At 62.1% G+C, this 18,182-nt stretch overlaps 2 protein-coding genes, 1 long non-coding RNA gene and 2 other non-coding genes across 17 annotated transcripts in view, besides 20 other annotated features; 4 read left to right on the top strand and 1 right to left on the bottom strand.

The window, feature by feature from the left end:
* The window catches only part of SMG6 (SMG6 nonsense mediated mRNA decay factor), a 243,947-nt gene extending 240,159 nt beyond the window's left edge, over positions 1 to 3,788 (top strand). For 9 of the 12 annotated variants that reach the window (XM_011523769.3, XM_047435696.1, XM_005256569.5 and 6 more), the window contains one exon: positions 2,005 to 3,788. In XM_011523769.3, the coding sequence (XP_011522071.1) occupies positions 2,005 to 2,135 (131 nt within the window). In that variant the 3' untranslated portion in view covers positions 2,136 to 3,788. The remainder of the gene's footprint in view (positions 1 to 2,004) is intronic. The other 3 variants (NM_017575.5, NM_001256827.2, NM_001282326.2) reach the window with 1 other exon arrangement.
* Positions 386 to 8,524, bottom strand: HIC1 (HIC ZBTB transcriptional repressor 1). Of its 2 annotated transcripts, none has more exons than NM_006497.4 (2): positions 8,389 to 8,524; positions 386 to 6,956 (listed from the first exon to the last, which is right to left on the bottom strand). In NM_006497.4, the coding sequence occupies exon 2, from the start codon at positions 6,934 to 6,936 to the stop codon at positions 4,792 to 4,794; it is 2,145 nt and encodes a 714-aa protein (NP_006488.2). In that variant the 5' UTR covers positions 6,937 to 6,956; positions 8,389 to 8,524; the 3' UTR covers positions 386 to 4,791. The 2 variants fall into 2 exon arrangements, with proteins under 2 accessions (NP_006488.2, NP_001091672.1); NM_001098202.1 differs by lacking the exon at positions 8,389 to 8,524 and adding an exon at positions 7,281 to 7,317 and having other exon boundaries at positions 3,940 to 6,956.
* Positions 4,231 to 4,300: a silencer, noted in NCBI's record as "silent region_7985". NCBI's record gives its function as "represses an Ori minimal core promoter by ATAC-STARR-seq in GM12878 lymphoblastoid cells {active_cell/tissue: GM12878}" and the evidence as "EXISTENCE:reporter gene assay evidence [ECO:0000049][PMID:35858748]".
* Positions 4,631 to 4,820: a silencer, noted in NCBI's record as "silent region_7984". NCBI's record gives its function as "represses an Ori minimal core promoter by ATAC-STARR-seq in GM12878 lymphoblastoid cells {active_cell/tissue: GM12878}" and the evidence as "EXISTENCE:reporter gene assay evidence [ECO:0000049][PMID:35858748]".
* Positions 4,841 to 4,930: a silencer, noted in NCBI's record as "silent region_7983". NCBI's record gives its function as "represses an Ori minimal core promoter by ATAC-STARR-seq in GM12878 lymphoblastoid cells {active_cell/tissue: GM12878}" and the evidence as "EXISTENCE:reporter gene assay evidence [ECO:0000049][PMID:35858748]".
* Positions 4,951 to 5,270: a silencer, noted in NCBI's record as "silent region_7982". NCBI's record gives its function as "represses an Ori minimal core promoter by ATAC-STARR-seq in GM12878 lymphoblastoid cells {active_cell/tissue: GM12878}" and the evidence as "EXISTENCE:reporter gene assay evidence [ECO:0000049][PMID:35858748]".
* Positions 4,951 to 5,465: a biological region, named in NCBI's record as "H3K27ac-H3K4me1 hESC enhancer GRCh37_chr17:1961456-1961958".
* Positions 4,963 to 5,465: an enhancer, noted in NCBI's record as "H3K27ac-H3K4me1 hESC enhancer chr17:1961456-1961958 (GRCh37/hg19 assembly coordinates)". NCBI's record gives its function as "activates a minimal SCP1, AML or CMV promoter by ChIP-STARR-seq in primed H9 embryonic stem cells {active_cell/tissue: H9 hESC(primed)}" and the evidence as "EXISTENCE:reporter gene assay evidence [ECO:0000049][PMID:30033119]".
* Positions 5,501 to 5,550: a silencer, noted in NCBI's record as "silent region_7981". NCBI's record gives its function as "represses an Ori minimal core promoter by ATAC-STARR-seq in GM12878 lymphoblastoid cells {active_cell/tissue: GM12878}" and the evidence as "EXISTENCE:reporter gene assay evidence [ECO:0000049][PMID:35858748]".
* Positions 5,561 to 5,650: a silencer, noted in NCBI's record as "silent region_7980". NCBI's record gives its function as "represses an Ori minimal core promoter by ATAC-STARR-seq in GM12878 lymphoblastoid cells {active_cell/tissue: GM12878}" and the evidence as "EXISTENCE:reporter gene assay evidence [ECO:0000049][PMID:35858748]".
* Positions 5,851 to 6,230: a silencer, noted in NCBI's record as "silent region_7979". NCBI's record gives its function as "represses an Ori minimal core promoter by ATAC-STARR-seq in GM12878 lymphoblastoid cells {active_cell/tissue: GM12878}" and the evidence as "EXISTENCE:reporter gene assay evidence [ECO:0000049][PMID:35858748]".
* Positions 6,341 to 6,470: a silencer, noted in NCBI's record as "silent region_7978". NCBI's record gives its function as "represses an Ori minimal core promoter by ATAC-STARR-seq in GM12878 lymphoblastoid cells {active_cell/tissue: GM12878}" and the evidence as "EXISTENCE:reporter gene assay evidence [ECO:0000049][PMID:35858748]".
* Positions 6,611 to 6,720: a silencer, noted in NCBI's record as "silent region_7977". NCBI's record gives its function as "represses an Ori minimal core promoter by ATAC-STARR-seq in GM12878 lymphoblastoid cells {active_cell/tissue: GM12878}" and the evidence as "EXISTENCE:reporter gene assay evidence [ECO:0000049][PMID:35858748]".
* Positions 7,071 to 7,200: a silencer, noted in NCBI's record as "silent region_7976". NCBI's record gives its function as "represses an Ori minimal core promoter by ATAC-STARR-seq in GM12878 lymphoblastoid cells {active_cell/tissue: GM12878}" and the evidence as "EXISTENCE:reporter gene assay evidence [ECO:0000049][PMID:35858748]".
* Positions 7,431 to 7,550: a silencer, noted in NCBI's record as "silent region_7975". NCBI's record gives its function as "represses an Ori minimal core promoter by ATAC-STARR-seq in GM12878 lymphoblastoid cells {active_cell/tissue: GM12878}" and the evidence as "EXISTENCE:reporter gene assay evidence [ECO:0000049][PMID:35858748]".
* Positions 7,601 to 8,010: a silencer, noted in NCBI's record as "silent region_7974". NCBI's record gives its function as "represses an Ori minimal core promoter by ATAC-STARR-seq in GM12878 lymphoblastoid cells {active_cell/tissue: GM12878}" and the evidence as "EXISTENCE:reporter gene assay evidence [ECO:0000049][PMID:35858748]".
* Positions 8,051 to 8,100: a silencer, noted in NCBI's record as "silent region_7973". NCBI's record gives its function as "represses an Ori minimal core promoter by ATAC-STARR-seq in GM12878 lymphoblastoid cells {active_cell/tissue: GM12878}" and the evidence as "EXISTENCE:reporter gene assay evidence [ECO:0000049][PMID:35858748]".
* Positions 8,241 to 8,740: a silencer, noted in NCBI's record as "silent region_7972". NCBI's record gives its function as "represses an Ori minimal core promoter by ATAC-STARR-seq in GM12878 lymphoblastoid cells {active_cell/tissue: GM12878}" and the evidence as "EXISTENCE:reporter gene assay evidence [ECO:0000049][PMID:35858748]".
* Positions 9,491 to 9,960: a silencer, noted in NCBI's record as "silent region_7971". NCBI's record gives its function as "represses an Ori minimal core promoter by ATAC-STARR-seq in GM12878 lymphoblastoid cells {active_cell/tissue: GM12878}" and the evidence as "EXISTENCE:reporter gene assay evidence [ECO:0000049][PMID:35858748]".
* Positions 11,523 to 12,418: an enhancer, noted in NCBI's record as "H3K4me1 hESC enhancer chr17:1954503-1955398 (GRCh37/hg19 assembly coordinates)". NCBI's record gives its function as "activates a minimal SCP1, AML or CMV promoter by ChIP-STARR-seq in primed H9 embryonic stem cells {active_cell/tissue: H9 hESC(primed)}" and the evidence as "EXISTENCE:reporter gene assay evidence [ECO:0000049][PMID:30033119]".
* Positions 12,964 to 13,113: a silencer, noted in NCBI's record as "silent region_7970". NCBI's record gives its function as "represses an Ori minimal core promoter by ATAC-STARR-seq in GM12878 lymphoblastoid cells {active_cell/tissue: GM12878}" and the evidence as "EXISTENCE:reporter gene assay evidence [ECO:0000049][PMID:35858748]".
* Positions 13,124 to 13,923: a silencer, noted in NCBI's record as "silent region_7969". NCBI's record gives its function as "represses an Ori minimal core promoter by ATAC-STARR-seq in GM12878 lymphoblastoid cells {active_cell/tissue: GM12878}" and the evidence as "EXISTENCE:reporter gene assay evidence [ECO:0000049][PMID:35858748]".
* On the top strand, positions 13,247 to 13,356 carry MIR212 (microRNA 212). The gene has a single exon (NR_029625.1). It is a non-coding gene; the product is annotated as a microRNA 212 (primary transcript).
* MIR132 (microRNA 132) lies at positions 13,619 to 13,719 on the top strand. Its single transcript, NR_029674.1, has one exon. It is a non-coding gene; the product is annotated as a microRNA 132 (primary transcript).
* LOC124903896 (uncharacterized) lies at positions 13,678 to 14,920 on the top strand. Its single transcript, XR_007065576.1, has 2 exons — positions 13,678 to 14,466; positions 14,869 to 14,920. It is a non-coding gene; the product is annotated as an uncharacterized LOC124903896 (long non-coding RNA).
* Positions 14,921 to 18,182: the final 3,262 nt, after the last annotated feature.

Below are 18,182 nucleotides of genomic sequence, written 5' to 3'. Positions count from 1 at the left end.
GGGATTGCTGAAGGCCTTGTTGGGAAGTGTGGTTCCAGGACTGCTGGGCCCCACCCCAGCCTCAGAACTTTCTTTCTCAGAACGGACACATTTTGGCTTTGGTCCTACTAGTCCTCCCACCCCCGACTTCACCCCAAACAGCCTACAGGAACCCATTGCCATCCGGGGGACCGCCCCTATCAGAATGACATCAGCAATGGCTGGTGTAATCAAAGCCCATTTGTCAGTGTGAATTCTTAGCAGATTAACTTGTCAGATTCACAGAGAAACCGTCACTAAATGTTTATGTGTAAACGATGTTGAATTTTAAAATCATGTGGATTATGGCGGATGGGGCCTGACAAGATGACAGTCTCTGGTTTCTAACAAAGTGAAGTTACCAGTGTCAAAACAGAGGATGTTTATTGTGAAAAATGTCAAAGTATCCACAGAAACCCCTGCAGACCCCTGCCAGCAATGTCGGGCCTTGGTTAGCTGACCTAAGGCCTGGGACGCTCCTGGTTTGAGGCCCAGGGCAGGAATAGTGGGGCTGCTACAGACGCAGCCAGTCAGCTGGGAGCCCCACACAGCCCTGCATACCACCACCCCAGCCACACTTATCTGCAGAGGGGCCTGGCCCAGGCAGCTGAGTAGTCTCTGAGTATCCCCTCACCCGAGGCCACCTTCCTTTCCCCTCTGCCCACAGCCCCTTGCCTCCCTTCACACTCTCCTTCCTCCTGTCCTCTTCTCTCGCCACCACCAACCCCACAAACCTCTCCCTCCCGAATCCTCCAAACTCCTCCCCAGGCTGAAAGCCAGTTCTCAGCCTCCCTGCCTGGAGCTGGCAAGCCTGAGACTGCTCAGGTCCGACATGGATATTTGCAGCCCCCCACCCCCGCCAGCCCACGCAGTCAGTGAGCACAGCAGGACACTTCCTGTGCCTTGCTGTCTGCCGGACCTGGACCTCTGTCAGGAAATGCCCAGCCTGGGACTGACGAGTAGACCTGCCACCCAAGCAGGCCTGTCAGGGTAGGGATGTCACTTGTGTGAGTGCTTGTCCCTGGCTTAAATTCTCTCCAATGTGTTAAAGATTAGGGAGTTAGGGAAAGAGAGGTAGTGGAGAGACTGTGCTTAAAAAAAAAAAAAGTCATCTAAAAAGAATGAAAGATATCTGTGCCACTATAGCAAGACCTTTTAAGTATATACTCTGAAAGTGTGGCTAATATGATCATGATGCTGTAGGAAAAAAAGGTTATATGTCCAAGTGTATGTACTTGTAAATGTGCCTAAAGAAACCTGGAAGGATACACAGGTCTTCCCTGGGGTACAAGACGGAGAACTGGGATCATCATCTTAACTCTACTCTTCCTTTTTACTCTTCTGTCCTCTTAGAGACTTTCGCCTGTATACATGGATTACTGTTACTTAGCAGGGGCGACCGGTTGGCCAAAGCCTTGGTGTGCCCTTGGCACAATTCTGCCAAGACCCTTACCCTCTCCTCTCCTCAGGGCTCCCTTAACCCCTCTCCCCACATCTGGAAAACCCTGGATACATTTTCTGTTCCATCTTTAGTTTTCTGCCTCTGGATGCGTAAAGCTTCAACCTGCTGGCTTTTAGAGGGAGAGGACTTGTTAAAAAAAAAAAAGTGGGGTGTGGGGAGAGCGGTGTTGTGATCTGGGGGCCAGCCATGTGGTAAAAAGGAGTAGAGGTCAAGGGGCTGCTTCTATTCCCTCAGTTTAGGGTCCTGGGAGGCTGACGGGTTTGGGCAGCTTTTGGGAACTAGGCAGAAGAGAGTCCTGTATGGGAGGCCGGAGTCAAGGCAGAAGCCCAGTGCAGCCCTCTCTAGGCCAGCAGGGGAGGGTCCCCGGGGCTGAGAGCCCGGACGGAGGAAAGGACTGGTAGAAGAGCCAAGACACGGCTAGCGTGGCACCCCCTCCCCAGGACCACATTCTCCAGGGTGAGAAGAGCAGCCAGCCCTCTGCCTCCTGTCCTCAGTGACAGCCTTCTGCTCTCTCATGCCCACAGAGGAGCCAATCCGGCTACTGCGGGAGGTGGTGCTGTTGACGGATGACCGGAACCTGCGTGTGAAGGCGCTCACAAGGAATGTTCCTGTACGGGACATCCCAGCCTTCCTCACGTGGGCCCAGGTGGGCTGAGGGAGCCACACTGGGGCCCCCCCCCCGTGGAACCGTTCCTGAAAGGCCACCAGGCGCCCAGTGTAGCACGGAAGATGCCCACGTGCCTGAGCCACCAATCCACCCAGACAATAAACCATCCTCTTCCAACCCACGCCACGGCCATGCTGTGGGGGACCTGCTCCTCACAGAGCCCCTCCCAAGGATCGGGCGGAAGCTGCTGGGACCCTCCTGGGCTGCCAGGATTTAGCAGGGAGGTGGCTGGCTACAGCAACAGCAGCTGGGCAAGCCAGATAGGCCGCCCATGCTCTCAGCCTTTCTCCCTCCCCCGTCTCATTCCAAGGCTGAGGGAGGGCCTTCTCGCCTGGGGACGCAGCCACTTTCTCCAGTGGAGACAGGGCAGGGGTTCTGAGTTTCCGTCAGATGCAGTGAAATCACAGTTCCCTTTCATCTTCAGAACCTCTGTCGTGAATGTGTTCAAGAGGCTTTGGTTAAGTCAGGAAGAAGTGCCCAGGGTGTGTGTCCCCAGTCTCCCTGAGGCCTGGACTCGCCCATGAACCCAAGTCGGCTTCTAGACAGCATGTCCCTAACAGCAGCCCTGGGCCCCCACCTCTTCTACCATCCACCCCAGACTTACCACACACCCTTCCTGCTGCTCCTCTTCCTGCCCTTATCAACCTGGGTCCCTCACACTTCGCCAGTTGCGTCCCCGTGGACAGTCATGAGTCTAGAGGAAAGGGGCATCTGGTCTCAGGCCCGTGCTCTCGGGTGGCCTCCACCTGCTCCCTCTCTCCTCACTGGCCTTTCTTTCCGTCTAGCTTCCTCTTCAGGAAATGTCCTGACTCCCCTCAGCTCCCCCTTCACCCCTCCTTGCCCGCCTACCCTCCCTCCAGAATAGCCCCTCACCCTTCTTCCCCTTCTAGTTGATCCTTTTCACCTCCCTGATCCCCTTCATTTCTTCACCGCGGTTCCTCGTCATAGGGGTTCTCACTCTGAACTTTCCCTCTCTACTACCCATGGCAGGAACCTAGTACAGGTCTCCCACCCAGGGCCTTCCACCCTCGGCTCCTGTGCTGGGAGAAACTTCCAGGCGTGGACAGCCCAGCCTGAGGCATTCCAGTGCTGGGGCACCGTCGCCTAACCTGGTTTCTAGCTTTGCCCTCACTCCCCGGAAAAACTGACACTGACACAGGGGCCCTTTCCTTGCCCCTTTAGCTGGTACCTCAGTGGGGAGGCTTCCTTACCAAGAATGAGTTCCTGAAACCCAGGGCCAGAGACAAGGACAACTTAGGGGAAGACGGGGTTTTCGGTGGAGCCAGGGGCAAATCTTAATGGGACCAGTGGGGGATACCCCAGAGCCCATGGCCTGACTGCACAGCCTGCCTGGAGGATGGGTGCGCAGCTCTGCCCTCCCTGAGGCCCAGGACTATGCCAGAAGCGATGGGGTACCGTGTAGGGGAGCCAAGGCCAGTAGTTTGGGGGTAGGAGTCCCCTAGAGTCTCAGAAGACTGGGCTCTTTGGAGTACAGGGTCCCCGGCCTCTCCTTTAAGATTCTCTCCCCAGCTGGAAGGCCGATGACTGGGTGGTCGGGAGGGAGACCCAGCTCTCCTTTCTGTCCCGTTTGCAGCACTGGTTTTGTTTCCTTAATAAATTTTTAGTTATGAAACATACCTGACCTCTTGCTGATCTGTTTCTGGGACTGGGGAGGGAGGCAGGTCCAAGCCTCTGCACCTGTGTGAGGGTGGCCCTTTCTGGCTCCTCCACCCAGCGGGCGCAGCCCATCCAGGTCCTTGTGCAGGGGCAGAAGAGAGCAGCGGGGTCGGGGTCCTTGGTTACTGCTTTATTGCTGTTTGGTTCGAGTATAGAAAATGGAAGCGGCTCTGGAAGAGCCTGTGTACAAGGTAGGAAATATACAAACGAAGAGGAGGGAGCTAAAGAGACCGCGTTCCAGCCCAGCCCAGCCTGGGCTCGGGATGGGGGGCCGCCGGGGCGCATGCAATAAATATGGTCCGGGGCCGCAGGGAAGGGAAGGGAGGGCACCGCGGGAGTGGGAGACCTGGTGGTAGGCTCTTCGCCTTCCGACTCCAGAACTCCCCGCCCTTGGTGACTGAGGAAGGAAGGGTTGGCCCTGGGGCTAGTGCCACTTGTGCAAAATGAGGAACTTCACATTATCAGTCCCGGGGTGGGTGGGAGCGGGGGTGCGGGGGGCCCTCCGGCCGGCTCAGTCCCCTCCCCACTCCCCAACTCTGCCCGACGCTCCGACCCCAGCGGGGAGATTCACAGTGAGAATGGGTGTGGTCGCAAGGGCCGGAGGTAGGGCTAGGAGTGCCCCGACAGTGACACCCCTCCCCCTCTAAGAGCAGCGCGGAGCCGGGGGAGGGGGCCGACGAACCACAGGAAGAGGCGGGAGGGGCCTGGGGTCTCCTTTGGTCAAAGCTGATATCAAAAATATAAATTTCCCTTACCCCATCCCACCCCCGTCCCGGGGTTCTCCCCCGACCCCCGAGCTAAGGCACGAAGCAGTGAGGCCAGGTGAGGCCGCCGAGAGGTGGAGCCGCCACTGTGGCGACGCTGCGGTTGTCCCGGGCACAGTGGGCCCTGCGCGCCGCCCCCGCCGCTCCCTGGGGTGCGGGCCAGGGCCGCGCAGCAGCGACAGAGCGGGCTGGCGAGGGGCGCTCTAGGTGGGAGAGAAACGGTCGATGGTCCGGCCGTCGGGCCCGGCCGCCAGGTGAGCGCCCTGGCTCAGCACCTCGGCCGCCTTGTCGGGGCTGAGGCCCAGCTCGGCCGTGAACTTGGCCAGCGGGTAGAGGCTCTCCAGCGCCACCTTGGGGTCGTGCAGGAAGTGCGTGGTCTGCGCCAGCAGCTCGGCCGCGGCCGCCTTGTCCTGCTGCTTCAGGCTCAGCTGCTCGGCCGTGAGGCGAGCCACAGCAAAGACGCCCTCGGGGAAGTCGAGCTTGCCCTTGCCGTCGGGGCCGGGGACGCCGGGGAGCCCCCCCAAGCCCGCCAGCGCCCCGGCCGCGCCGGCCGCGCCCCCCACGGCGTGCATCTTCATGTGGCTGATGAGGTTGCGTTGCTGTGCGAACTTGCCGCCGCACACCTGGCACTCGTAGGGCTTCTCGCCCGAGTGGATGCGCATGTGCTCCGTGAGGCGGTACTGGCGCGTGAACCGCATGCCGCACGCGTCGCACGCGAAGGGCTTGAGGCCCAGGTGGCTGCGCATGTGGCGCGTCATGGTCCCACGCTGCGTGAACTTCTTCCCGCAGATGGTGCATGGGTAGGGCCGGGTCAGCCAGTGCGTCTTCTCGTGCTGCCGCAGCGTGGCCGGGTCCTTGTAGCTCTTGTCGCACGACGCGCAGCGGTAGGGCCGCAGCAGCTCTCCCAGGCCACCCGGAGCCCCGGCGACCTTGTCCCCGCCGCCTCCAAAAGGGGGCCCTAGGCCGGCGGCCCCAGCGGCCACTTCGGCCGCCTCGGCCCTGCCGTACAGCGCTTCCTCCTCCTCCACGTGAGCCTCCACGTGCGCGTTCAGCTGCTCAGAGCTGGGGAAGCCCTTGCCGCACGGAATGCACACGTACAGGTTGTCACCGAAGCTCTCGGGCTCGCCATAGGCCAGGTGCGGGCATGGGTAGCCCTCGAGGTGGCCGCCAGGCGGGCTGGGGTCCTCGCTGCTACCGGTCTCCTCGCTGCTGCTCTTGTAGTCGTCGCCGTCGCCGCCCGCGCCGGGCCCGTCCAGGCTGCCAGGGTAGCGCGGCGGCGGCGCCAGGCCGAGCGGGGGCCCCCCGGGCGAGACGGCCGCGTCCCCACCACGCTCTTCGCAGCGCTCGCTGGGGGAGCCGCGCTCCCGGCCCAGCTCGTCGCCATAGCTACCCAGGCCCGGCTCGTGCTTCATCCAGCGATAGAGGAGACTAGGCCCGTCGGGGCGGCCGGGGGGCTCGGGTCCCGGGCTGCCGCTGCCGCCGCGAAATGGGTCGGAAGGCGGTGCGGCCTCCTCCAGCTTCTGGAAGGGCAGCGGCGGCAGCGACGGCAGGGCGAGAGGCGGCTCCTTGTAGGCGGCGGGGCCGGCGCTGGGAGGGCTGTCCGGGCGCGGGGGCAGCTCGCGCTCAGCCAGCGGCCGCTCTGGCGCCGCGGAGCCCGGCGGGCTCTTCTTGGACAGGTCCAGGCCACAAAGAGGGGAGCAGCGGCGCTCCGAGGCACAGAGTGCGGCGGCCGGGCCGGGTCCCGACGCGTACAGCTCGGCGCAGTGCGTGTTGACCGCGGCCTCTGGGCCCGAGGGCGGCTCCGCGGCAGGCGGCGGCGGAGGCCCGACTGGGGACGGGTAGCAGGCCTGGATGACCGGCGTGGCGGCCCGCAGGCCCCGGCCCGGCCGACCATAGGGCGCGTAGCCGCCGCCGCCGCCGCCGCCGCCCCGCAGGTGGCAGTACTTGCCGTGGCGCTTGAGGCGTTTCTTGCACAGCGCCACGAGGTCGGGGATCTGCAGGTAGCTGGCGGCGGCCAGCACGGCGCCCAGGCTCGGCTCAGCCCCCGGGGCCACGGCCGCGGCCGCAGCCGCCTCTGCGCCGTCAGCCAGGCGGCCGGTGTAGATGAAGTCCAGCACCAGGCGGAACACGGCCGGGCTCACCATGTCATGGTCCAGGTTGAGCAGGTTGTCATGCACCACCAGGGACTTGAGGTAGGCGCTGCTGGCCGCCAGCACGTTCTTGTGCGCGCGGAAGAGGGCGTTCTGCACCACGATGATCACGTCGCACAAGAAGCCCTTGGTGCGCTGGTTGTTGAGCTGCAGCAGCAGCTGCCTGGAGTGGCCGGGCGCCTCCATCGTGTCCAGCATCGTCTGCCCAGCACACTCTCCTGCGGGGACACACACCGGCCGGGTGAGAGCCGTGCGGCGCCCTGGCCGCCTGGCCCCAGCCCGGCACTTCTCCCCTCCACTTCCCCTTCCCTCAGCTGAGCGGGGGCATCAGCCCTGCGGCCTGGGCACCGGCGAAGGACCGGCTGCCCTCTGGAGTGGGAGCCCAGGCCGGCCCGCCCGGACCAGGAGAAGGAGCAGGAGGTGAGCGGCCGCCGGTGGAGGGGAGGCCAGGGCGGCCTGCACGCCCCAGGGCACCTGGCTGGGTGCTGGGGCTTCCGAGAAGAAAACTGTTCAGGCGCAGTGACCCTTTTGGAGACAGTTACCCGATTTAAGTAAAATGTCCGCTTCAGGAAAAGTCATTCAGGGCGGAGAACTTTACCCAAGTAGGGAGAAAGGGAGCCGAGGAACCAGCGCCTCCCGCCTCGGGAGAAGTTGCCCCAGTTGGGGGAAGTGATACGGAGGAGGGGAGCGCGGTGCCCGCCCTGGCGCCGCCCTGGCCGGGGGCTGTCAACCCTCGGTCGGGGCCCGGGCGGCGGCCGCGCGGGGAGCGGAGGCAGCGGCTGCCGTGGCGGGCAGAGCGCGAAGGCCGGGCCCGGCGCGGGGAGGGCGTTATATCGGGGCAGGAGGCTGAGGCAGGAAGCAGGTGGGGGGGAGGGGGGAGCCACGCAGCTCCCAGGGGAGGGAGGGGGCAGCGCCCCGGGCGGGCACGGCGCACAGCCGGCTGCGGCCCTGACCCGGGCCTGCGCCCCACCCGCGTCCCGGCCTCGGCCTGGGCCCTACACGCGCGGGCCCGGCGCCTCCCTCCGCGGCTCCCCCGGCCCCTTCTCCCCCGGAACTCCGCCGCCCCAAACTTGGGGAAAAGTTTTCCAACTGCAGACAGGGCGGGAGGAGTGCGCCGGCCCCAGGCCCTCGGCTCGCAGCTCTTCCTCGCGGCCCCCAAATCCGGCGGCAGAGCCCGGAGCCGAGCCCTGAGCTCCCCTGCCCGCTGCTCGCCCGCCCGACCCCGTTCCCCTCCTGGCCCGCGGGGCCCCGCGGCCCGTTACCTGCGGTCCCGGCGGGCCGGGCTCCCCTCCCCGCGGCGGTGGCAGCTCTTAGCCGATGCCCCACCCGCCGCTGCCAGGCCCCGAGCTGTGCCAGGGCAGCGCCCCTGCCAGCCCCGCCCGCCAGCTCCCCTTCCCTTCCCTTCCCCTCGCCTCTCCAGCCCATGTGCGGGCAGAGCCGGCCCCGGGCCGCTGACCCCGCCGTGAACCCGGCGCGGAGCCGCGGCCCGGTGGTCCTGAGTCCGAAAGGGACGACACCCGGAGCCCTGAACGCCAGCCGCCAGCCGCGATGGGGCACCCGCGCCAGAAGATGCACCCGAGGCGGCCGACGCACGAGGACCGGGCTGTCCCGGGTCCCCCGTCCCTCCCGGTCCCCGGCTCGAGGACCCACCTGGGGGGCATGTCGAAAGCCCCGGGCCCGGCTGACGGCGGATCCAGGGGGGACGTGGCTGCGCTGCCCTCCGCCCGCCGGGCCCCCGGTCGGTCTGTCCTGCTGGTCCGTCCTCCCCGCGTCCTGGTCGCGTCTCAGCCCCGCCGCGCTTTCCGCACACTCTTATCTGGAGCGGCCCGGGCCGGCGGGCGCTGCTGCGGCTATGGCGCCACCTCGCGGGCGCGCAGGGCTCTGCGCGGCAGGCCGCTGCCTTCCTCCCGCGCACCTGAGCTGGAGGCGCACAGATGCTGAGCCCGCGGGGAGGGGCCCACCCTACCCGCAGGTTCGCCCTCCCACCTGTACCCACCTGGGACCCCGACCCCGGACACGCGAGTCCCAGAAACCCTGGGGCTTTGAGCTGAGCGCTCCCATGTACGTATTTCTAGGCACACAGCCCCAGTTCGGAAAAGTCCTGCCCGCGAGCACGGGACTCGGGTGGTGGGGGAGAGGTTATCCTGCGCAGGAGTAGCCGAGCTCTCCTGGAACTCCCCGTAGACATTACTGTACGGCACTGTCCACTTGGACGCACTCCCCAACACACCCACCCTCACTCAGGCGCATGGATTCGGTGTGCGCGGCATAAACTGATTTGTCCCCAGCCCTATCCAGGCACTGATACTAACAGGCGCTCATGTTTCCAGAAGCACACCCGCCCCTTCCCGCAGCCCTAGCGCTCTGGGATACTCCAGGGGCAGCCACGTAGGGCCCTCCGGGAACCTGGGCAGAGGTGTTACCCACACAGCCCGCCCTGAACTTTCGGGTCTCCTAAAGGAACCCACGACGAGTCATCAGGGCGACTGGAAGTGGCTGGACAGCGCCTCCGGGGGGTCCAAAGAAGTAACCATGGGGCCCTAGAATCCCCCTGTACGCCGTTTTGAAGAATCCCGCGTGGACTTCTTCTCCAACCCACCCGCCCGAAGGAAACAACAGGGGCGCCTGCGGCTGGGACCCCGCAAGGTCCCGCGCCCCACGTGAAGGTCAGGTTTGTGTGGGTGACGTCTCTTCTGGGAGAAAGGGGACCCCGCACTGTCGCGCCGCTGCTCGCAGTACTACTCCGGAAGTGGCCCCGTGCAGCCCCGCCGCGCACCAAGCCTCCTGCGAACGCCGGATCTCCGCGGCCCACGCTCCGCCTCCGCCCCGCACCTCCTGACCCCCGCCCACACACGGCGTGGAGCGGGGGGGGGGGGGGTCCCCGAGAACTCCGCCGCTTCCGATTGGCTGCGCCTCCCTCCACCGCGGAGCGCGAGGGGCTGGGGCGCTGCGTTACCATGGCAACCGGTGAGGTGCGCCCAGATCCTGTCCCTCCGAGGCCTTGGAGAGCTTAGCAACCGCGCTCGCCGCCCCCCGCGCTGTCCTCTGGCCCCCATGGCCCCGCCAGAGGTACCGGCTGAGTCACCGGGCGAGGGGCAGCGGGCGCGGCTACCAGCGGCCCCCGAGCGACACCAAGGTCTCGGGCGCCCCCCGGAGGCTCCCTTTGCTGCGCAGGCGACTTCACGGCTTCGGTGCCTGGCGGAGGCTTCGGTCCAAACGAGTCCGCCTGATTCCCGCCGCTGCCTGAGTCCGCCCCATGTTCTGGATCCATCTTACCCACTCCCTCTCCCATGTCTCCCCATAGCATCCTCACTTTAGAAGCAGTGAGGTCCCAAAGAGGAAAACGGAGGCCTCCGGAGCTGCCGGTCTCTAGGGAAGGCGGACCCCGACATCTCGCCCGAGGGACGTGCTGCGGCCTGAGGTGGAAGTTACGGAGTGTTGAGGGGAGGTGGAGAGGCTCCTCATAAGTGCTCCTAGAGCTGGGCTTTGACGGATGAATAGGAGTTCTTCTACCGAGCAGGAAGGCATTTGTGAATAACAGAATCCCTGGAACAAAGGCTAGCGGCAAGAAAACTGGAGCTCTAGTAGGCCAAATCCAGACTATGCAGGGCCTCTCTGACCCCATCTCTTTTATCTTTTCTCTTTTTGATAGAGTCAGATCCCCCACCCCCGACTTCCAAAGAGCCCCTCCGCCCCATGTATCTTGTGCAGTGGAGTCTGTGCATTGCTAACCTGCCCCAGGGGTCTGCTGTGCCCACAGTCTTTATTCTTCAGCGTTCCCCCACATCCGCTCCCCAAGTTAACTTACTGCCCCTAACCCCATCCTCAAGCCCTCATTGCTTCTGTAAGGGAGGGTCTCACAGCCCTGCCCCAGCCCAGGCCCCTAACCCCATCCTCAAGCCCTCATTGCTTCTGTAAGGGAGGGTCTCACAGCCCTGCCCCAGCCCAGGCCCCTAACCCCATCCTCAAGCCCTCATTGCTTCTGTAAGGGAGGGTCTCACAGCCCTGCCCCAGCCCAGGCCCCTAACCCCATCCTCAAGCCCTCATTGCTTCTGTAAGGGAGGGTCTCACAGCCCTGCCCCAGCCCAGGCCCCTAACCCCCTCCTCAAGCCCTCATTGCTTCTGTAAGGGAGGGTCTCACAGCCCTGCCCCAGCCCAGGCCCCTAACCCCCTCCTCAAGCCCTCATTGCTTCTGTAAGGGAGGGTCTCACAGCCCTGCCCCAGCCCAGGCCCCTAACCCCCTCCTCAAGCCCTCATTGCTTCTGTAAGGGAGGGTCTCACAGCCCTGCCCCAGCCCAGGCCCCTAACCCCATCCTCAAGCCCTCATTGCTTCTGTAAGGGAGGGTCTCACAGCCCTGCCCCAGCCCAGGCCCCTAACCCCCTCCTCAAGCCCTCATTGCTTCTGTAAGGGAGGGTCTCACAGCCCTGCCCCAGCCCAGGCCCCTAACCCCCTCCTCAAGCCCTCATTGCTTCTGTAAGGGAGGGTCTCACAGCCCTGCCCCAGCCCAGGCAGGGTGAGGACCGCCTTGCCCTCCTGTGCACTTCACTCTTCGACCTTTCTCTCCCTGCCCCGCTCTTCCGGCCATGCCTTGCACAGCCCTCCCCATCCTGGTCCAGCTCCTCGTCTGAACACACTCCTCTCATTTAGACCCTTCCTCCATCTCGATGGAGCCAGGCTGGGCCAGGACCATGCATTTCCCCGCTCCCAACCAGGGGAACTGCCCCACAAGTCATGGGCTCTCCCTGCCAATTCTGGTCTCCGGGAACATTAACTTCTCCAGGAAACCGTCCTCCTCATCCCCTGGGGGCCCCTCTTGGCCAAGCTGCTGGTCTCCTTCACTCTCTATTACCCTAACGTGAGCTCTGGGAGCGTCCATCGTGCCACAAATGGTCCGAAGGTGGGTCCTGGATGCCAGGCTCTGGAGCGTGGCACTGACAGCCTTTCCTCTCTCCCTTGCTGAGGCTGCCCATTCCTCTCACCCCTACCTCTGGCGCGTTCCCCCAGCTCCCTCATAGAGGATCCCGTTGCTCATCATTTCTGGGGAGGTTGGCCCACCTTCCCCAACTTCTCTGCCGTCCCTCGGGTCTCCAGCTCCTGGGTGGTACCTGAATCCCCGCTGGGCCTTCCCTCCCAGGCCCAGGTTCCTCCGCTAAAGACTCCTGGGCTACTTTGGGCTCCCCTACTCTTCTTCTCCCGGCCCCCGACGCCACAGCCCTCGCTGCGCCCCAGGCCCCCACGGGAGTCCAGCTTCCTCTCCTGCCCACCCTGCAGGACGAGAGGGTGGCGACACCGCAGTGGCCTTGCGGGGTGTGACGGCAGAAACGTCAGGTCCAGGAACTGAGGAGGGGGAAGGGGCTGCCACGTGAAGACCCCCAGGAGCCGCGGGGCTCCGGAAGGAGAGCGTGAATAAGCTCGAAGGGCCCGCCGCGCCCCTCCGCGCCGCCTCCCCGGCCCCAGGCCCGCGGTTCCGGAAAGTTAACCCCTTGTCGGCTGGGCAGGGGCGCGGCTCCCCCTACCCCGCCGCCGCTTCCGCGCCCCCTCCTCCCCTCCCGGTCGCCTCGGTCCCCACCCCCCGCCTCGCCACTATAAATAGCCCCTTTTCCCATTTCCTAAATTCCCCGCTGACGTCGGCAGCGCGTCAGTGTGTAGGAGCCGCGGCCGCATGAATGAGCCGCCGCACGAGTACTACGCGCGCCTATAAAAGCCGCCGCGCCGGCCAGGCTGCGGGAGGCGACCGGGCAGTGGCGACGCGGCCCGCCAGGTAAGCGGGACGGACCAGCCGCGGAGGGACAGATGTGCGGACACGGACGGGAGGACGAGGAGGGGACGGGCAGGCGGCGGGTGGGGCGGCCCCTCCGGGGTGGGGATGGGGGCGGACGGGGGGCACCGGGGTCCCCTCGCGGCTGCGGAGCCGGGGCCAGAGACGACACGAGCCCGCGCAGCACCTGCCGGCGCCCGATGGACACGCAGCTACTTCGGAGGAGCATCGAGTGGAGGACCGACCTCGGAGACCCCCCCCCGGCTTTCTTGGGGCTCCTGCGCCATTCTCCCAGGAAAGTGAGGCGAAGGTGCTGGCGCCCCAGGAGACGCGCCCCCTCCTCTCCCTCCCTGCGGCGCGGTGACTCAGCCTCGCTGCCCGGGCCGGCTGAGCGGGGGTGCAGGCGAGAGACGGACGCCCACCCCCGCTTCCCCGGCCCTCCTGGGACCCCCGCCCCGCATGGCGTCGGGCGCCCCTTCCCGGCAGGTCCCGTCCAGCGGGTCCCGCGGCGCCCACGGCTTCCCGCCTCTGCGAGCGGAGCTGTCCTCTCAGGACCGGGGGGGCGGGGCCTCCCAGGTCCCGCCCCGCCCCCACGCCCCCGCCGGAAGTGCCCCCTCTGGGACATCTTTGACGTCACGGCCCTCTGACGTCAGGGGCCGCGTGCCTGGTCGCGAGCGCCGGGCGGGGCAGGGCGGGAGACGCAGGGGAGGCGGAGCAGCAGAGCCCCCAGCCGGGGCAGCCGGGGCGACCGGGGCACCCCGCCCGGACAGCGCGCCGGCACCTTGGCTCTAGACTGCTTACTGCCCGGGCCGCCCTCAGTAACAGTCTCCAGTCACGGCCACCGACGCCTGGCCCCGCCCCAGGACCGCGGCCCCGGCCGCCGCCGCCGCGCCCGGGGACCCCCAGTCCCCGTCCCTCAGGGCCCCGCCCCCGGCCCGCTGCCTGCGCCGCCGCTGTCCGCGGTGCTGATCAACGCAGGCGCCGCCATCGGGCCGCCCCGTCCGGGTCCCTAGGGGCTGCGAGGGGCGGTGGCCCACGCGCGCTCCTCAGCCCCCGCCGCCCCGCCCGCCCCCCCGCGGCCCTGACGTCAGCCCGCCCCGCGCCGGCGCCGTCCGCGCGCCCCGCCCCCGCGTCTCCAGGGCAACCGTGGCTTTCGATTGTTACTGTGGGAACTGGAGGTAACAGTCTACAGCCATGGTCGCCCCGCAGCACGCCCACGCGCCGCGCCACGCCGCGCCCCGAGCCGCGGGCTGGGGACGCGGAGCAGAAGGAGGCGGGGGCGGCGAGTCAAGATCCCACGTGCCCGCGCGGGTGGCAGGAGGTGCTGCGCAGGGAGGCGGCCTCCCGGGGCCGGCGGCTGAGTCCACCGAGGCTCGAGCGCGCGCGTCCTGCGGAGTGCGTCTGGCGGCCAGCCTGAGGCCGTCCTGTCCTCCCGGCCAAGGTATCCCAGCCAGGGCTCGGCGAGAGAAGGGGTCGGGCTGGGACTCGGGTTCTTTCGATTTCGGTGAGAGGGAAGCCACTGGGACCAGGAGGCTTGGAAGGAGGTTTGTCTCCTGGGGCCTGAAGACAGTAGAGGGAGGAAAGTTTTCTGAGATACTCCACAGCCCCGTTCTTCCAGGAACCCCTAGCTGAAGTGGGCATTGGGCGAAGAGTAAACTCTTGAATCTTTCCCTCTGAGCTAGGAGGATAAGAAGGGTCCCCAACCCTCTGGAAGCCAATGAGCTTGTAAAGTTAACCTGGTCCGCGAAGCGTCTGAACAGATCAGCCTGCTCACCTCAGCCTATCTCTAGGTGCTGGATTCCAATCTGAGACAGTTTCTCAAATTAGCCCTAAAGAGGAGTGAATACCACAGGGGCTGAAGTCCTCTGGTGCGGATGAAGTGTGAACAAGGATCTCTAAAAATATTATTGTATATGTCGCCTGCCTCTGCCAACATCACCCACTACAGGGGATGTCTATTGAATATCAGGTGTGAGACTTCCCCAGAGATAGTGTTGGGAATGGTTAATGCAACCCAGCCCACGACACGTTAATCCAATTTTTCTTAACGTCTCACGCCCCACCCCCTCCTTCACTCCCCACCCGGCTCCTTTGTGAAGTACTTCTAAGACACTCGTGCCGGTTTCCCAGTTAATCAACACCCACATGCTAGCCATCCCACCTCCCCAGGGCCCCGAGGTCTTGCAGATTAAAACGCACTTGCTTCTGGGTTCCAGGGGATGTCAGTGGGTGGACTGCAGTGGACTGCTGGGTGTAGTGCTCTGGGAAGCCAGAGGTCCAACCTGGCATTATCAGCAACTGGTGGTTAAGGGGCCATATTCTGTTTCTGAGCTTTCTGTAAAACGGGATAATAATCTCTTCTCCTCGGCAGGTGCACTGTGAGGATTAAATAGGATCATGTAAGTAAAAATCCAAAAACAGCAGAATGTTATTTTGATCTTAAGTATTCTGTTAGGCTACTACATGTTTGTGAAGGGGTGGTGTTGGGAGGGGACCCCAGCTCTGTGCACTTAGGCAGAATGAACGGGATGTGGGGGGTACACCTTGAGCTTTAGGCTATATATATTTATTGTCTAATATATATATAATCTATATTATATATATGTTATACATACATATACTTTTATTTTTTTTCTTCTGAGACAGTCTCGCTCTGTCGCCCAGGCTGGAGTGCAGTGGCACTATCTCGGCTCACTGCAACCTCCGCCTCCCGGGTTCACTCTGGGCCTGGGGCTGTTGAGAGGTTCCTTGCTAAGGGGGTTCTCTCTCCTAAGAGCTCTAGGAATCCAAGGTGGAATCAGAGGTGGAAAACAGAAATGGTTGGGATATTCTGAGAAGAGGTCAGAATGTGGTCAGAGGGGAAAGAACCAGAGGATTGACCGTACGTCAGGGTTGTTTAGCATCTTAGAAATCATTTAGGGCAGGGCACAGTGGCTCACGCCTGTAATCCCAGCACTTTGGGAGGCATAGGTGGGAGGATCTCTTGAGCCCAGGAGTTCGAGACCAGCCTGGGCAATACAATGCGACTCCCATCTCTACAAAAAAGAAAGAAAGGAAAGAAGAAAGGAAAGAAAAGAAAGAAAATTAGTTGTGCACACCTGTAGTCCCAGCTACTTGGGAAGTTGAGGTGGGAGGATTGCTTGAGGCTGGGAGGTTGAGGCTGCAGTGAGCTGTGATTGCACCACTGTACTCCAGCCTGGATGACAGAGTGAGACCCTGTCTCAAAAAAAAAAAATCATTATTTAGGGCTGGGAGACATGGCTCATGCCTGTAATCACACCATTTTGCGGGGCGGGGCAGAGGCTGGAGGACTGCTTGAGCCCAGAAATTCGAGACCAGCCTGGGCAACATAGTGAGACCCCATGTCTTAAAAAAAAAAAAGCCAGTGTGATAGGTGGCACCTGTAGTCTCAGCTAAGCTACTCAGGAGGCTGAAGCGGGAGGGTCACTTGAGCCGAAGAGGTCGAGGCTGCAGTGAGCCATGATCCTGCACCTGGTGACAGAGGTAGACCCTGTCTTAATAATAATCCAGCCTGGCCAATATGGTCAGACTCCGTCTCTACTAATAACACAAAAAATTAGCCAGCCATGGTGGTGCTTGCCAGTAATTCCAGCTGCTTGGGAGGCTGAGGCACTAGAATCACTTGAACCCAGGAGACGGAGGTGCAGTGAGCCGTGATCGTGCCACTGAACTCCAGCCTGGGTGGCTGAGTGACACTCCGTCTCAAATAATAATAATAATAATGGTACCTACCTCATGAAGTTGTGAGATTAAACATGAAGTTGTAAGGTTTAAGCTATATATATTTATTGCCTAATATATATAAAATATATATGTGTTATATATATATAATTTTATTTGTTTTTTTCTTCTGAGATGGAGTCTTGCTCTGTTGCCCAGGCTGAAGTGCAGTAGCATGATCTCGGCTCACTGCAACGTCCGCCTCCCAGGTTCAAGCAATTCTCCTGTCTCAGCCTCCTGAGTAGTTAGGACTACAGGTGTGTGCCACCACCCCCAGCCAATTTTTGTAGTTTGTTTTTTTTTCTTTTTTTTTGGAGACAGGGTCTAGCTCTGTCTCCCAGGCTGGAATACAGTGGCACAATCACAGCTTACTGCAGCCTCAAAACTCCTGGGCTCAAGTGATCCTCCCACCTGAGCCTCCCGAGTAGCTGGGACCACAGGTGCATGCCACCACACCCAGCTAACTTTTAAATTATTTGTAGAGAGGGGGTCTCACTATGTTTCCCAGGCTGGTTCTGAACTCCTGGGCTCAATTGATCCTCATGCCTTAGCCTCCCAAAGTGCTGGGATTATAGGCATGAGCAATCGCACCTGGCCCTAAATTAGGCCGCATTAAAGCTCTTGCTTATTACAATGTCTGGTATACAGTTATTACTCAATAAATGCTCTTCTGGCCGGGTGCAGTGGCTCACACCTGTAATCCCAACACTTTGGGAGGCTGAGGTGGGCGAATCACTTGAGATCAGGAGTTCAAGACCAGCCTGGCCAACATGGCGAAACCCTGTCTCTACTGAAAATGCAAAAATTAGCTGGGAGTGGTGATGCACACCTGTAATCCCAGCTACTCTGGAGGCTGAGGCAGGCGGATCGCTCGAACTCAGGAGGCGGAGGTCGCAGAGAGCGGAGACTGTACCACTGCACTCCAGCCTGGGTGACAGAGCGAGACTCCGTCTCAAATAAGTAAGTAAATAAATAAATGCTATTCCTATTTCTATCCTTCAGACCTAATTTTCCTTTGCTATAAATTGAAAATGTTTAAGCAGTGATTGTTCTGGGGAGCTTGCTCCCCTCCCTGGTGGGTTGCAAGAGAGTCACACTAGGGGTTTTTCAGATAACACACCCTCACCCGAGGCTTTCATTCAACCCCTAAGGCAGTGGCTTTTCAAATCCCTGCTTGGGAATGATGGGGGCAATTTGCCAAAATGCAGATTCCTGGGTCCCAGTGATTCTGACTCAGTACATCTGGAGTTGGCCCCAGAATTCAAGTTGGTTTTTTGAGATGGAGTCTCACTCTGTCACCCAGGCTGGAGTGCAGTGGCACAATTTCGGCTCACTGCAACCTCCGCCTCCTGGGTTCAAGCAATTCTCCTGCCTCAGCCTACCAAGTAGCTAGGATTACAGGTGCATGCCACCACGCCCAGCTACTTTTTTTTTTTTTTTTTTTTGAGACAGTTTCGCTCTCGTTGCCCAGGTTGGAGTGCAATAGCGTGATCTCGGCTTACCGCAACCTTTGCCTCCCAGGTTCAAGCAATTCTCCTGCTTCAGCCTTCCAAGTAGCTGGGATTACAGGCATGCGCCACCATGGTTGGCTAATTTTGTATTTTTAGTAGAGACAGAGTTTCTCTCTGTTGGTCTGGCTGGCCTCAAATTCCCAACCTCAGGTGATCTGCCCGCCTCCGCCTCCCAAAGTGCTGGGATTACAGGCATGAGCCACCACGCAGGGCCAGAATTCAGGTTTTAACCAATGTTCTGGATGTAAATGGTACACAGAATCTGCGTATTGGGGGTGGGGAGGGGCACAACCCCCTAAGAGTCTCTCTTGCTCCTGGACGGCATGATGGGAAGTGACCTGTTCCACTTGTCGAGAACTAGTGGACCCCATGTTTCCCTCTAGCTTGGACACTATGGTTCTCAGGAGGAATCCTCACCCCCGGCCAGGAGCCC

The sequence above is a fragment of the Homo sapiens genome, chromosome 17 (genome assembly GCF_000001405.40).
Source record: "Homo sapiens chromosome 17, GRCh38.p14 Primary Assembly".
NCBI lineage: Eukaryota > Metazoa > Chordata > Mammalia > Primates > Hominidae > Homo > Homo sapiens.
This window is presented reverse-complemented; position numbering and strand designations above follow the sequence as displayed.

Bases quoted from the DNA above. Each gene is read 5' to 3' on its own strand.
- HIC1 (NM_001098202.1), bottom strand. From the start codon at position 7,317: ATGACTTTTCCTGAAGCGGACATTTTACTTAAATCGG. The intron at 6,957-7,280 runs GTAACTGTCTCC...GTGTCCCCGCAG, and splicing joins GGACATTTTACTTAAATCGG to GAGAGTGTGCTGGGCAGACG.